At 44.1% G+C, this 13894-nt stretch overlaps 1 protein-coding gene across 5 annotated transcripts in view, besides 3 other annotated features; it reads left to right on the top strand.

The window, feature by feature from the left end:
* Positions 5110–5664: an enhancer, noted in NCBI's record as "H3K27ac-H3K4me1 hESC enhancer chrX:133119327-133119881 (GRCh37/hg19 assembly coordinates)". NCBI's record gives its function as "activates a minimal SCP1, AML or CMV promoter by ChIP-STARR-seq in naive H9 embryonic stem cells {active_cell/tissue: H9 hESC(naive)}" and the evidence as "EXISTENCE:reporter gene assay evidence [ECO:0000049][PMID:30033119]".
* GPC3 (glypican 3) overlaps positions 5370–13894 on the top strand; it is a 449850-nt gene continuing 441325 nt past the window's right edge. For all 5 annotated transcript variants that reach the window (NM_001164619.2, NM_001164618.2, NM_004484.4 and 2 more), the window contains exon 1: positions 5370–5689. In NM_001164619.2, coding sequence (NP_001158091.1) covers positions 5515–5689 — 175 coding nt within the window. In that variant the 5' untranslated portion in view covers positions 5370–5514. The remainder of the gene's footprint in view (positions 5690–13894) is intronic.
* Positions 5665–6219: an enhancer, noted in NCBI's record as "H3K27ac-H3K4me1 hESC enhancer chrX:133118772-133119326 (GRCh37/hg19 assembly coordinates)". NCBI's record gives its function as "activates a minimal SCP1, AML or CMV promoter by ChIP-STARR-seq in naive H9 embryonic stem cells {active_cell/tissue: H9 hESC(naive)}" and the evidence as "EXISTENCE:reporter gene assay evidence [ECO:0000049][PMID:30033119]".
* Positions 9335–9847: an enhancer, noted in NCBI's record as "OCT4-NANOG hESC enhancer chrX:133115144-133115656 (GRCh37/hg19 assembly coordinates)". NCBI's record gives its function as "activates a minimal SCP1, AML or CMV promoter by ChIP-STARR-seq in naive H9 embryonic stem cells {active_cell/tissue: H9 hESC(naive)}" and the evidence as "EXISTENCE:reporter gene assay evidence [ECO:0000049][PMID:30033119]".

Below are 13894 nucleotides of genomic sequence, written 5' to 3'. Positions count from 1 at the left end.
TCTACACATCATACATCAAAACAGATATATTACATTACCTGAAGCACTGTGTTCTTTGGTCCAAAATGATTCAAAGCAAAACAAAATATGTGTGAATTGCCATGTGGCACATAAAGCCATGCCTCAGGCATCACCAGCATTTGGATTTAAAGCTACTGTGCTCTCAATCACCAAACTACAAACCCGTTAAATTTTGAAAGAAAACCAAATATCCTATGCAAGAGACACAAAATGTTAGATTTACATACAGTGCATCTGCCCAATGAAAAAGAAAATCAATGGACTGGTGTATGAAGAAATATGTTAGAAATCTAGGTCAATATCCCTTATACAAGCAAACACAGAATAGAATAATTTTTTATTTGTGGTAATCAACATGATGCTACAAATAAAATTTTCAATAGTTTTTTTCAAGCCTTGGACTCTGACTTACAAGAAGCTCAGTATATTTTGTGGATTTAGTGAGGGCAAAGCATAGTCCCTGGTCTGAGGACAGGCTATCCATCCACAACTCACAATGCAAGCATCTCAGCCGGGTCTATTAATTTTCCATACACACGGAGCCAAATTCTGCCTGGGATTATTATGCAATTTTCAAAATGGCTCTAAGTCTTTCAACTTACAAAGTTACCATTTACATTGCACTGGCCTGCTGGCTGGGATGAATGAATGAACACTCTTTCCCAAAGGACCATAATTCATTCTCTGATCATAGCTTATACATTTGGGAGCATTGGGATCAGTGTGCCTGGCGCCTCCCCTCCCCTCTGCCCCACAAAGGAGTCATACACTGCAAGAGAAGGGGAGACAAAGTGGCTGTGTGCCATAGAGTGCAGAGGTGTGGCCAGGGAGGTGTTGACTGTGAGCAGCACCAGTCTAACATATAAGCAACTGTCTACATGATGTGATTTCAGGTGCACCAAAAAAGGCCTCATTGCCCCTCAGTTTAAACACTCCCTTCCCACTGGCAGATGCCTGGAATTCCACAGTTTTTAGAGCTCTGTTCCTTTGGTTTAAAGCTTTGATCCTGTTAAAATACTCGTACCCCTGGGTGGGCAGCCCCATTATAACCTATCAACCATATACACTGTAAACGGACGAGTTTTAAAGTTTCTTTTCTGAAAGCAGGTTTTGAGAGTGGAGTTCAGGGCAGAAGATACTGTGTACCTGAGGGATATGGGGAGAGGAGAACATCACCTGGAGGGCAAAGGAAACTGGGCCCAAGACAAACAATGTGTGCGTGTGTGGCCATGTGCACGGCTGTGTATGAGCTCCTCCCATGGCGGCAGCTGTTGAACACCCTTTCTTAACCCTCTCCCAGAAAACTTGATTTATGCTGCTTTTGGAGCCATGGAACCAGACTCTCCTCCCAGCTACAGCAAGATAATAGCTGCTGGCTACAGCTGGGAATTCTCGAATTCTTTCAAACTGGAGACTAGGAGTGAAAGGTGAAGAAAAGTTCTTCTGGGCCTGCTGTGCTAGGTAGCCTTCCTCTGGGGTCCAAAGAGAAAGATGGGGCCCAACGGTGTTATCTAAATGCTTCCAACCGGGCCTGAAAGCACAGAATCATGAATTGTCAAAAGTGAACACTAGCTCAATCAGCACATCCTTTTGTGTTTCTAGACTGATTGTTTCTCTTTGTCTCTACTATGAAGAGTAAGGATGAATCACTGGCCTTACTTCTAACACAAGGAAGGGAGCCTTGAAAGTTAAGACAGTTGTTTATGTAAAAGAGGAAAAGAAAACCCAGTCTTAATCCACAGTCGCCCATTTGGGCAGTATACAGTATGTAATGTAACAGATTGTATGCTTTGGTTAAGGAACTGGATTTTCATCAGTAAAATTCCAAGTTACTGGGTAGGCAGGGCGGACAGCTGCTCATAGCTTTCCTGCAAGCTTTCCTCAATGTCAGTTTCAGTGCCTGAAATTCCGCTATTAGAGTCATTGCTTAGGGACTGGAAGGTTAGAAAGTCTTTGAGAGGCACTTATAAAAATGGAACCACTCCTTAAACCTAGCAAGTTTTATTAACTCCTACCTTAGGTTGGCTAAAAGCTCTGAAGTAGCTGCTTGGAGGGACAGCAGAAGCTTTTAGGCCAAAGAAATATTTTCCAAAACCTCAGGGCCAGCTTGCCTATGACAGCCCAAATCCTAGTTATTCACATATCGCCCTACACATTTTGTTATATCTTCATATTCCCATTACTATTAAATATTTTTCTTCAAACCAGTTCACATTTTTATTGAAATAAATGTATCATGGCACCAGCTACTTAGTTTTGTCCTAACAAAATCATGGGTTGGATGTACTAGTTACATATATTTTTTCTAATCCACCATTAAAATAAATATTTATTAAAATGAAAAGCAAAAACTTCATTGGTCCACTTCAGTGAACCCAGGGATTCACACGCTTCCCTTTGGGAAGCACTGACCTAGCTCATACAAAGTATATTAAATATAAAAGCATATATTAAAAATAAGTCACATTTCCCCTTTTCCAGGTACTCAATACCCAGTAGTTGAAAACAACTGTTGCCTTTGTAGTTAGTTGCATGAGCTCTGGAAGATCATGAATTTATGGGAGGTCATGTCTTCCTCTGCAAGGTCATGAAATTCAATCAATGCTTGCCTTCCAATCTGCCCTTTGGTCACAGGGCTCCACAGGTGGAACATATCAAACTCACCAGCCAAATTATGACTCTTAATTGGTGTTTCTTTTAAAGTGGATATGTCATTTGTCAAATGTTCAATGCAGGCGCAGGCCTAGCCCCAGGCAAAATTATGAAGTAGGAGAAGAATGCCAGATACATCGGCGGCACTCAAATGTTTGTTGAAAAAAGAGTGAATGAGCCCTCCGTCCTTGACTCCTTCTCTCCCATCCCCCATATCGACTAGGTCACTATGCCCTTTTAACTCTATATGCTAAATATCTCCAGTAATTATTTCCATTTCCAAATCTTCTCTGCTACAGGACTTTAACATTTCTTGTCTGGATTATTTTCACAGCCTCTTAACTGGTCTCCTTGCTTCCAGTCTTTTTCCTTCTTCAAGCCATTCTCCACAGTGCTGCTGGAGAGATCTTTTAATCAGGCAAATATGATCATGGCACCCCCCTGTGCTGAAAACTTCCTTAAGTGGTTCCCCAGGCTCCTCCATATGGCTTCAAGACTGCATAATCTGGCCCTTGCTTACCTCTGTCACCTTAGCTCTTCCAACTCCGCAACCTGAAATCATTACTTGCACCTCCCACCTTCCAACTGGGCCATGCCAAGCCCTCTCCCCTCAGTGTCTTTGTTTACACTGCTTTCTTTGCCTCAGCACCCTTCTCCCCATCTGCTTGTCTCACCTAAACTCCTACTGGTCTGAGTTTAGGACATCATCTCCTCTGGCATGCTTTCTCCGATCCCCCCCCCCCTTCACCCCTTAGAACTTCATCTTAGCATTCACACAGTGGGTTAACTTGGTTGTTTTCCCCATTAGTTTGCAGTTCTTTGAGGTCAGGTACCACGGGTTGGTTAATCTTTGTATCCTCATTGTCTGTTTGTAATCTACAGTGCCTGGAACACAGTAGGAGTTCAAATATTTGTTACCGAATGAATAAATGGATGAATGAACTTCCCCCGTGACCTTCCTCTCTCTTTGTCTCCCTTCTCAGCCCATGGGTCCTGGAACACAACCTCCTCTCTCCGGACCTTGCACACCCCAGACAATTTCCTGGTGCTGAGGTTCTCCCTCAAAACCTACTTTCACCTAGGTCGGAAACAAAACCATCAGATGACAAACTAATTCATGCTGAGGTGTTAAGTAATTTCATCATACAAATACTTATTGAGTTCTCTACTGGACTAGGGTGTGGAGGATCATGAAAATAATCCACGCTAAAGATCCCTACTTAGCAGCATATAGGTAATGACTAAATGCATTTTTCCTTGGAGAGATATTTCATTCTCAAAGAACTGGATTTCTTTTTTTCTTTTTTCTTTTTTTTTTTTTTTTTGAGACGGAGTCTCACTCTGTCGCCCAAGCTGGAGTGCAGTAGTGCGATCTCAGCTCACTGCAACCTCTGCCCTCTGAGTTCAAGTGATTCTCCTGCCTCAGCCTCCCGAGTAGCTGGGATTACAGGCGCCTGCCACCGCGCCCAGCTAATTTTTTGTATTTTTGGTAGAGACGGGGTTTCACCATCTTGGCCAGGCTGGTCTTGAACTCCTGACCTCATGATCCACCCGCCTCGGCTTCCCAAAGTGCTGGGATTACAGGCGTGAGCCACCGTGCCTGGCCTAAAGAACTGGATTTCTAATGGTGAAATCTAAGCAGGAGAGGTGGGATTTGGGTGTAGGATACCTTTCAAATAGCCTTCTACTCCATCTATGAAATAGGCTAGCTTTGGCTCAGTAAATTTGCTGTGTAATGATTTTCTAATGAGTTAGGCTGGCTTTAAGCCCCTGGTTATTTCGTTGTAACCAGTTAGGCTTTGCCTCTTGAAGGGCCACCTGGGACTGTCGTGCAGTAGATTTTCTTTTAACGCCCCAGAATCAGGTGCTTTCTCTGACTTTGTGTGGCTCTACTGAATCAAATCTAGCAAGCCACAGAGGCTTTCAGACTTTTAAGATACAATATTCAAAGGTGAGGCAGGCTGTGAAAAGCCCAGCGGTCCCTGGCTGTCCCTGAACGCGACTATTTGCAGGTTGGCTTTGAGAACCCGGTCAGAGCTGCGTTAGGAAAACGGTTCCCGGGAAGCTCCTCAGAGAGTAGAATGAGGAGGTGGATTTTGTGTGAAGGAACACCTTGTGTGGCTCTGGTGGCCAGGAAAGAGCTGGCACAAGCTGAAAGAAGGCCTGTGGCGAAGCGGAGGGGGACCTAAGTCAGGGACCCCCACCTGCCCCCAGGAAGGATGAAAAGGAGACAAAAATCCTAAAGGGAAAAGCCCTCCAGGCTGTAGGCCAATGAGCGGCGGGAAGGAGGAGTGAGGCTGGGGAACTTCTCCCAGAGCCAGTCAGAGCGGACGGCTGCTGGGAAGCCAATCAGCGCGCTCGAGCCTGCAGCCCCTCTGCAGTAGTTATGCCAGAGCGCCCTGTGTAGAGCGGCTGCGAGCGGGCAGCTGGGCTCGGCTGCCGGGAGCCACCGCGCGGGCTCCGCACCCTCCTCTCGCACTGCCTTCGCCCGGTCCCCGCGCCGCGGTGCCCCAGTGGCCCCCGCCGCGCTCCACGCCGCGCCCCCGCACCCCGCCGGCTACCGGCCGCACAACCGCCACCGCCCCCTGGCCGCGCGGCTCGCCTCGCCCCGCCCCGTCCCTCCTCGCCCCGCCCCACCCCAGTCAGCCCCGCCCTGCCCCGCGCCGCCAAGCGGTTCCCGCCCTCGCCCAGCGCCCAGGTAGCTGCGAGGAAACTTTTGCAGCGGCTGGGTAGCAGCACGTCTCTTGCTCCTCAGGGCCACTGCCAGGCTTGCCGAGTCCTGGGACTGCTCTCGCTCCGGCTGCCACTCTCCCGCGCTCTCCTAGCTCCCTGCGAAGCAGGATGGCCGGGACCGTGCGCACCGCGTGCTTGGTGGTGGCGATGCTGCTCAGCTTGGACTTCCCGGGACAGGCGCAGCCCCCGCCGCCGCCGCCGGACGCCACCTGTCACCAAGTCCGCTCCTTCTTCCAGAGACTGCAGCCCGGACTCAAGTGGGTGCCAGAAACTCCCGTGCCAGGTGAGGAGGGGTCCCTTGAGCGTGCCTAGCGCCCAGCGGGGAGCAAGGCGCGCGTGGTGGCTGTACCCTGAGCGCGCTAGCCCCGCCGGGCTGTAGTCGTGCGCCCTGCAGCTGGGCACTTGGGAGTGGTCGGTGTGCCTGGGGCCTGGCTGGGTCTACTGAGGGAGGGAGAGAGGGTGTGTGTGGACGGAGCCCACATCCCCCAGTCTCACGCTGCTGTCAGGGAAGGTGTGAGCGGGAGGAACCGTGGGGATCGCCTTCTCGTGAGCGCCCGTTTTTTGGAAGGGCGAGAAGGTGGGAGCTATTTTCCCGGGTCTCTGCGAACTGGCGCCCCACAGCCGAGCTGGTGCCTCATGAATTTGCCATCCTTGCTCGCACATACGTGTCAGAATTTCAGCCTTAGCTGGACCACAGCTCCAGCCATCCCTTCCCCAACGTACCCCCACCCCCCGCCGCCTTTACCCAGCCTGGGTTTCCTAAGCTCACGGGCCCAAGTGCAAGCAAAGTTGAGGACAGATTTCTGAGTCTGCAGTGGCGGGTGAAGACACACTGAGGCAAACTTTTGAGTAAGAGGGTCCCCAAAATGAGGAGACTGAACCTTTTCCTTCAAAACAGCATCCCTTATATAGGTTAGCGAAATCGCTTTAAAACCGGTGCTGCTGGCCCAGGGAGCAGGAGTCCAAAGATATTTAACTCCTCCCCCTCCCAAATTCATCTGCCTTCTTGACAGGCTGGATCCTAAAGGGGAGATGATTTCAGGTGGAGGAAAGTTTCTGAACGCCTGCCTTTTGTTCTGCACAATCAGATCGTGCCGTAACGACGTATTTTAACATCAGCCGAGGGCTGCCGCTGTCAACAGATGAATATTAATGGCCCTGCGTGATTGACTGTCCAGCGGTTGGGCTCCTAACGCCCGCCTTAGAATCCAATTAGACCAAATTGCTACACTGACAATGCGGACAAGAAGAGTCGGTTTCAAACAGGTTAATTTGTCAGGGGTGCACTGAGAAGAAACGGCCAGTTGTATTCCGTAACCGTGAGACGTTTGTGGCCTCCAGGGTCTCTTCTCAACTCAGGCATCCAGTGAGGCGCGCGTCCCGCGCTTCCGAGGGATCGGGGAGCAGCCCTAGCCAAAACTTGGCTGGTGGCTCTCAACAAGTCATGGAGGCGGGCCCGATGGTTGGACCAAGTTGTGAATGCGGATGCGCACCCCGTGGGCGCTGCCAGCCAGGGTTCACTGGTAGGAGGTTACCTAGGCAGCCAGCGCGCCCTCAGCCTTTTCTTTAGGTTGATGAAAAGAGCCGAGTGAGCCTGCTGTTTAGTTGCAAAGGTAATTGGTCACCCTTTTTGGTGACTGAAATGCATTTGCGCATATGTTAAATATTGCTTTGCAGGATTTCGCTCTAAGGGAGGGTCGAACTACCTCATCCCCTGTTAAGTGTTAATAATGTACCACGTGGGCATGTGCAGGAGCTGTAAGGGGCAACCTATGAATCAGTTCCACAGAACTGAAACAACTGGCCAATCTCTCTCCCCTGGAAGTGCCATGGTAATTAGATTGTTAAGGCTAGAGAACATGCTTTTGTTGGTAATGTAAAAATTGGTCCTCACAGGCTGAGCACCCACAAGATGAATGGGTCCAGGGTTGGGGTTGGGGCCACATTTGGCTGATTCGAAGCCAGGAGGTAAAGGTGGTGCCCAAAAGAAGAAAAAGGCCAGAAGAAAGCACAGATAGTCATTTAGCAACCCCCCTCTACACACACACTCCTGCAGGCACTCGCCCTCCCTTGCTCTCCCCCAGCTCTCTGGCTGCCTGCCTCTTTGCAGCATCTGTATAAAAGTATTGGGAGGGCCCACACGCTGTGTGTATGAGATTTGGCCTGGGCTCCTTCCCTCCCTTGAGGCCTAGGGATGGCCATACACTTATAGAGAAGAGGGACTTGTAATAAAGATTTTTCATTTTCCTCTACTATTTCACAAACTCTATAGGAGAAATCACTTTTCAAGGGTTTTCATCATATAAACCCAACGTTCCCTGCTTTAGTTCTATTTAACAAACACAAACACTGTTGAGCATCTTCTACATGGCAGGCACTGTCCTGACTTGCACTGGAGCCAAGCCAAACTTCAAATATGGTGATCCCCATACAGCTACCATTATATATCCTGGATTTTCCGGGGGCAGTGCAGGTTTCTAATACTCTGTCCTGGCATGAAACTGCGTGTCCTGAATTTTAGTGGGACAAATATGGTCACTGTAGATATGGAAAACATGAAAATCCTAATGTTCGTGTGTGGAAAGAGCTCATCAGTATTTTAGGGAAGAGACAATAATGGCAGACTAAATACAATGGTAAGTGTATAATTTCAAAGTGAATAAATGTATAATTTGCTGCTGTCGTTCAGTGGTTGGAAATTGAAAGAGAGCTGAAAATTATTTGGTAGTTATGAACCATCATGATGACCGCTTGACTTTCCCCCCTCTGCATCCATATTTTAAGCCATGTTCAGTTTGCCTGCTGCACTATATTAACTGCATTAAAGCTTTCTTTGTCCCAGATCAAATGAGATTCAGTCACAGTAAGGAGAAATCCTCAAGAATGTCCTGTTTCACTTAGGGGGAGCATTTGGGATTGACTGCTAACTTCAGCCATTAGCAGAATTGGGTTAGCCTGAATAAGGTACATTTCTTATGCTAATATGGATGAGACTAAATGGCATTTGAGATCAGCCAGCCTAAAAAATAAATCACTGGTGCTGAAGGACTACACTAGACTTCCACAAAGCTGATCTAAAGCCTTACAATCTCATGTTCCCATTTCTTTTGGAGTGTTCAAGTCACAGGATAGCAGTTCTAAATAGCATGTCCCCAAAATCCATAGATCTCTTCATACCCCACTTATTTTTTTAAGGATTTGTAACTTGGAAAGCACCACAGATGGAAACCAGGCGCACAGAGTTAGCATTTGGCAGAAAAATCCATATAACTGACTTTCAGTACAGCTCTTTTGCCCTTATTTAATTTAGAAAAATTCAGAAAAAAGCCAATGAGCTCATAAGTCTAGATGTTTATTTTGTTTTGCTTAACCTACCCACAGGCGCAATCAAGAATGGATACAATTTTAGGCAAGGAAAGTGAGCTAGTAATCAGACAATGATGTTTCCAATTGTCTCAAGGGAATGTTACAGAAGTCTGGAAAAAAATTCCTCTAAACAAAAATCAAGTGTAATTCACTTTATGAATGCCATACACCACTTTTGTCGGGGGAGGGGGGTAGTGTAAGGGATGGATGGAAATGAGAAAATCAAACAAACCGTGGTAGTGTTGCAACTCCCAAAAGATTGAGGGATCTTGCCTTGGAAGGCCTTGGAAAGTGCGAGAACCAATCCAGAAGGCCAAATGCCTGTATGGGTAAAAGGCAGTCTTGAACAGCCAAAATTGACTTGGAGTTTCTTGAAATAGATGAAACAACATAAAAATAAAAAGCAATGTGCTTGAAACAAAGAGATAGTTTGGTATTTGTTTTTGTTGTTTTTACTGTGAGAACTAGCCTCCGTATCTGGGTTGCCAGCTGCGGTTCCCCAATTAGTTTGAAGCAGTTAGCGGTCCTAATGTCCAGAGAGAGAATAATAAGTGAGGTGTGGAAGGGTTTTTTCTCTTCTGAGATTGCACGAGACATTTGGGTGACCAGGTGATTTGTTAAAACTTTGAAACTTTGAACAATACAAAAAACTCTGTATTGTGTGCTACTTGGAACAGTTAGAGAATTCTTTCAAATGTGGTCTGAATAGTACACGAATCCTGATACTGATACCAAGCTGTGCTTAGAGGGAGCCATCAATCTGATGGAGGACATGGCTGATGATTGGTGGGGCACCTTGGGCTGAAAGGAGTCTAACACTGCCAACTCCTTGGCAGCCTCTGTAATAGGTGCTGGGGTTGCAGAGAGGAGTGAGACACAATCCCTTTTGTCAAGGAGCTCACAGTCTAGTGGGGAAGCATACAAGTAAACAGGCTTCCCAGGAAACTTGTAGGATTAAAAAGGGTGAAAAGGGCTAGAAAATACCTCCAGGAAATTGGCTGAAATGGTCACAATAGCCAGCCTGGGCAAGGGAAAAGAACTGAAGAGATGAAGTGGGAGATAGGGAGAAGTCTCTTAATAGGGCCGCCATCTTAAAAAGAGTTTCTTAATTCTTGGAGCAAATTCCATTTTGGAAGCATTAGGAAATACAGACATAAGAAGAATTTTAATGGTTGCTAAATGACGCAGATGGCGTCAGTTTTGCAATGTGTTTTTTTCTTATGGGCTGGTAGGTTGTATCCAATATTTTGATGCAATATTTTTGAGCATTCTGCTACTTCCATCTTTAGAGTTGCAATGTTTGCTGTTCACTGTAGCCTAGAAAAAGGCGGCTTATTACTGATCTGGGGGAAAAGAGTCCTGGATTTGTCTGGTATGAGACAAGACAGAAAATATGTTTTCTCCCTAAATGACAGCTATCAATGACCACGCCAACTTCAGTGTTTGATGCATATACAAAAGCATGGGTCTTAAGAGTTATCTTATTACTCATTTCTAAGAAAATTGAAGATAATCACTTATAACTTGTGCACACGATACATCATTTGGAAAGAATTTCACTGGGGATCATGTTGCTCAACTGAAAAGTTCTGGCATGCTGAATTTGTACATTTTTTTGTGAATGCTTCCTTTTACTCTGATCTCTAGCTTTTTTTCTGCATATGGTTATTTGTATGTTTTAGATTATAAGCCTCTTAAAGGGAAAACACTGCATTTGAGCAGTGTTGAGCACAAGGCCATACAGCATTTAGTAAATAATTTACAAAAACAGAATTTCTAGATCATTATGTGTTCCCTATGAACTCTCACATACTTTCTTAAGCCATATGTCATCTTACATATTTTAAAAGCCTAAGTCCAAATTGTTACGATACATTATTGGGGCATGTAGACAAACTTTTCAGCCTACATATATTTTGGCTGGAGACAGATGCAGGCTTACCTCAGTTAGCTGGCAACTCTTACCATCAGTAGGGCTTATTAAATTTTGAGTACCCAAATAACAAATTGAAATTAGCAGCATTGTTATGACTGGCTTAGTATCATTAACGATCAACAATTATTACAGCACATAAATTGTAGGACATCTCTTAAATCAAGCCCTCTTTGATTTATTGTCAGCTAGACCTTTCTTGCTAAGGTTGATATTACCATATTTGGGAGTTGAGCTATATAACACATGCATGGACCTGTTGAAGTACCTCACAGGTTTTTGTAACCTGGGATCAGAACTCGTGTACAGACTCAATTCAAGAGCCTATTCCAGGAGCCAATGTCTATTCAGTCCTAGCCAATCTTGTAAATGGGTTAGATGTTTTTGGTAATCTGCGATCTAAGGGACAGTGTGGGCAGAAAAATCTCCCACTCATCTGCCCATATTTAGCAAATTGTCTGGCTTGAAACAGGATCCCTGGCACTCCATTAGGAAATGAGCATCAGAAAATAGAATCCAAGTTACAGGCCCCAGACTGGCTTTAGAGACAGCATAAAGTAATGGGAATTTACCTTCTGAGACATAATGACAGGGAGAATGCTGTTCAAAAATCAAGGTGAAGGTGGGTATATCAGCAGAGAAAATGCGTGTTTTGAAATGCTACGTGTATCAGGGGGTGGTGGTGAGAATGCTCATTGGAACATTGTAGCCTTACTTGAATATCTTGTTGAATATACAAAGTAAAGAAGATTTAGTTCTGTACTTCTAATTAGGGCAATTCAAGATCAATTAGACAAGTGTTAATTATTAGAAATACTTGTTTGCAATTTAAAAAAATGAATCAAGATTGATTACTAAGAGATTCATTTTTCACTTTTCCCTCTTTTTGTGTGTAGCTGGACAAAGCCTAATTTGAGAGTTTGTATTTTTCCTCATGAATAAAAGGAAGTCAATGTTATGACCAAAGTGCATTGCTAGTGTTCCGAACAGTTAATTACTTCTAGTAGCTGAAATTGTATTTATATGCTAGATTAGTAAATCTACTAAGCTCTTTGAAGCGTACTTAATAGGCTTATGTTGATAAATAATTGATAGGAAGGAGATAAAATACAAGTGGAAGTGGCAATAAGAAGGGAAGTCAAAAGCTGTTATAAAAGAAACTTCCACCGTCCAGCCATCTGAAAGCTGAAAAATGTACATGTCTCAGTAGAAGTGATGTTTTTGAAAATATTCTGTATTTTTCAAAATTTCCACAGTGAAGCATATATTTATTCCTTATAAATCCAGGAGAAGGTACAATTTTAGAGTAAAATTTTACATGGCCTTTTTGTCTGCCTTTTGCAACTAAGTTTATTACTGGAAAATTAGAAGTCCCCATTATGGCAACTTTGAAGTTCATGTTTCTAATGATATCTTCCCTACTAGACTGTGATCATCTTGAGGTTAGCGGCTATATTTTATTCATCTTTGTATCCCAGTGTCTAGCACAGTACAGGGTACAAATAATAGGTACTCAATATGTATTTATAGACTGAATGAATGAACGGAGTTAGAAATGTATTACAAACATAAAATTTCCATAAAGTCAATATTTAAGTAGTTGATTTATTTTTACCAATATACTAAGGTTTTTAAAAAAGTAACCAGTTTTTTTTTAGGTCAAAAATCCATTTGTTTTCTATAGGTAAGTGATAAAGGATATTAGTTTAATTCATTTGGCTATACTATAACTCTCTGGAAGAAGTAGACTAGTTAAATCTTATAAGAGGTAAGTATTTTGTGCTTGTTTATAAGGATATTATAAGTAATTTCAAGACAAATTGAAGATATATTATACATGTATGTATAAATGCATATGCTTATCTTCACCTTACAGATCTGTGGTATTTAGGTTTGTGAAAATAATGCAACTTGGTGCCAGTTACGGAAACATACACTGAATGTATGTAAGTTTTTCCTCAGTGTTCGGCATTTCTTACCTAAGGCATCAAGCTTCATAAATGTACATTTAAAAGGACATAATCCAGGCTGGGCATGGTGTCTCACACCTGTAATCCCAACACTTTGGTAGGCCGAGGCAGGGGGATTGCTTGAGGCCAAGAGTTCCAGATCAGCCTGGCCAACATGGGGAAACCCCATCTCTACTAAAAATACAAAAATTAGCTGGACATAGTGGTACATACCTGTAATCCCAGCTACTCAGGAGGCTGAGGCAGGAGAATCGCTTGAACCTGGGAGGCAGAGGTTGCAGTGAGCTGAGATCATACCACTGCACTCCAGCCTGGGCGACAGAGGAAGACTCTGTCTCAAAAATAAATAAATAAAATTTAAAAAAGGACATAATCCAAAGTGAATTTTCCGCCATGGAAATTTCATTTGGGTAGGATAAAGGGCCTCATGAGAGTTCTCTTAATTTCTGTCTGCATTAGGCCAAACTTTCAATTAGTTGCCTAGGTAAACTAATTGAAAGTTGATGGGAAGTTCTTTCAAATATTCAAATAGAGGCCCAAGTAGGAAAAAGGATAAAAAACGAAGGGATGATGTTCATTTGAAAACAAAAATCAGAATTCTATTTGCATACTCTTCTCCTTAATTATGGCTCTGCTCCCTCTCTCCCAAACCCTGCATATCAGTACTTACAGTGTGTATCATGTCACCCTGGGATTCTTCATTGCTCTTTGTCAAACTTTGGTTTGAATGATTGAAGCTGATGGAAACATGGTGAAGGGAGAAAGAGTTAGAGTGACAGATATAGGGAGGAGTTTAAAAGCCTTCACTTGGTATATATTAGAAAGTTAGCTGGCATACGACAGATGGAAAGGATTGGAAAATATTTGAGTATGGAAATTTGCATGTGTGCAGAGAGAATACAGAAGGATGTCCCAATTGCATTTGGTTCAGAGAAATACTTTATCTGTACTTCTCACTTATTATCCATGTTTTTTGAAATATGTAGCTTATTCATGGCCTCTTCCAGACCCTATGCTTATTGAATGCAGGGACCATGTTTGATTCATCATGATATCCTCTAGAGTGGTGAGTAGAGTGCCTTGTACAGAGTTTTTAATGGATTGATTAATTAGTTGGAATGAATGTAAGAATAAACACCTAAAGACATAGTCTAGAGAGCTTGACCACTGTCCAGTGAGATCCTGGGGTGGCATATAACTATAGAACATTGATTCTCTG

The sequence above is a fragment of the Homo sapiens genome, chromosome X (genome assembly GCF_000001405.40).
Source record: "Homo sapiens chromosome X, GRCh38.p14 Primary Assembly".
NCBI lineage: Eukaryota > Metazoa > Chordata > Mammalia > Primates > Hominidae > Homo > Homo sapiens.
Note: the sequence above shows the minus strand (reverse complement) of the source record. Positions and strands in the feature narration are given on the sequence as shown.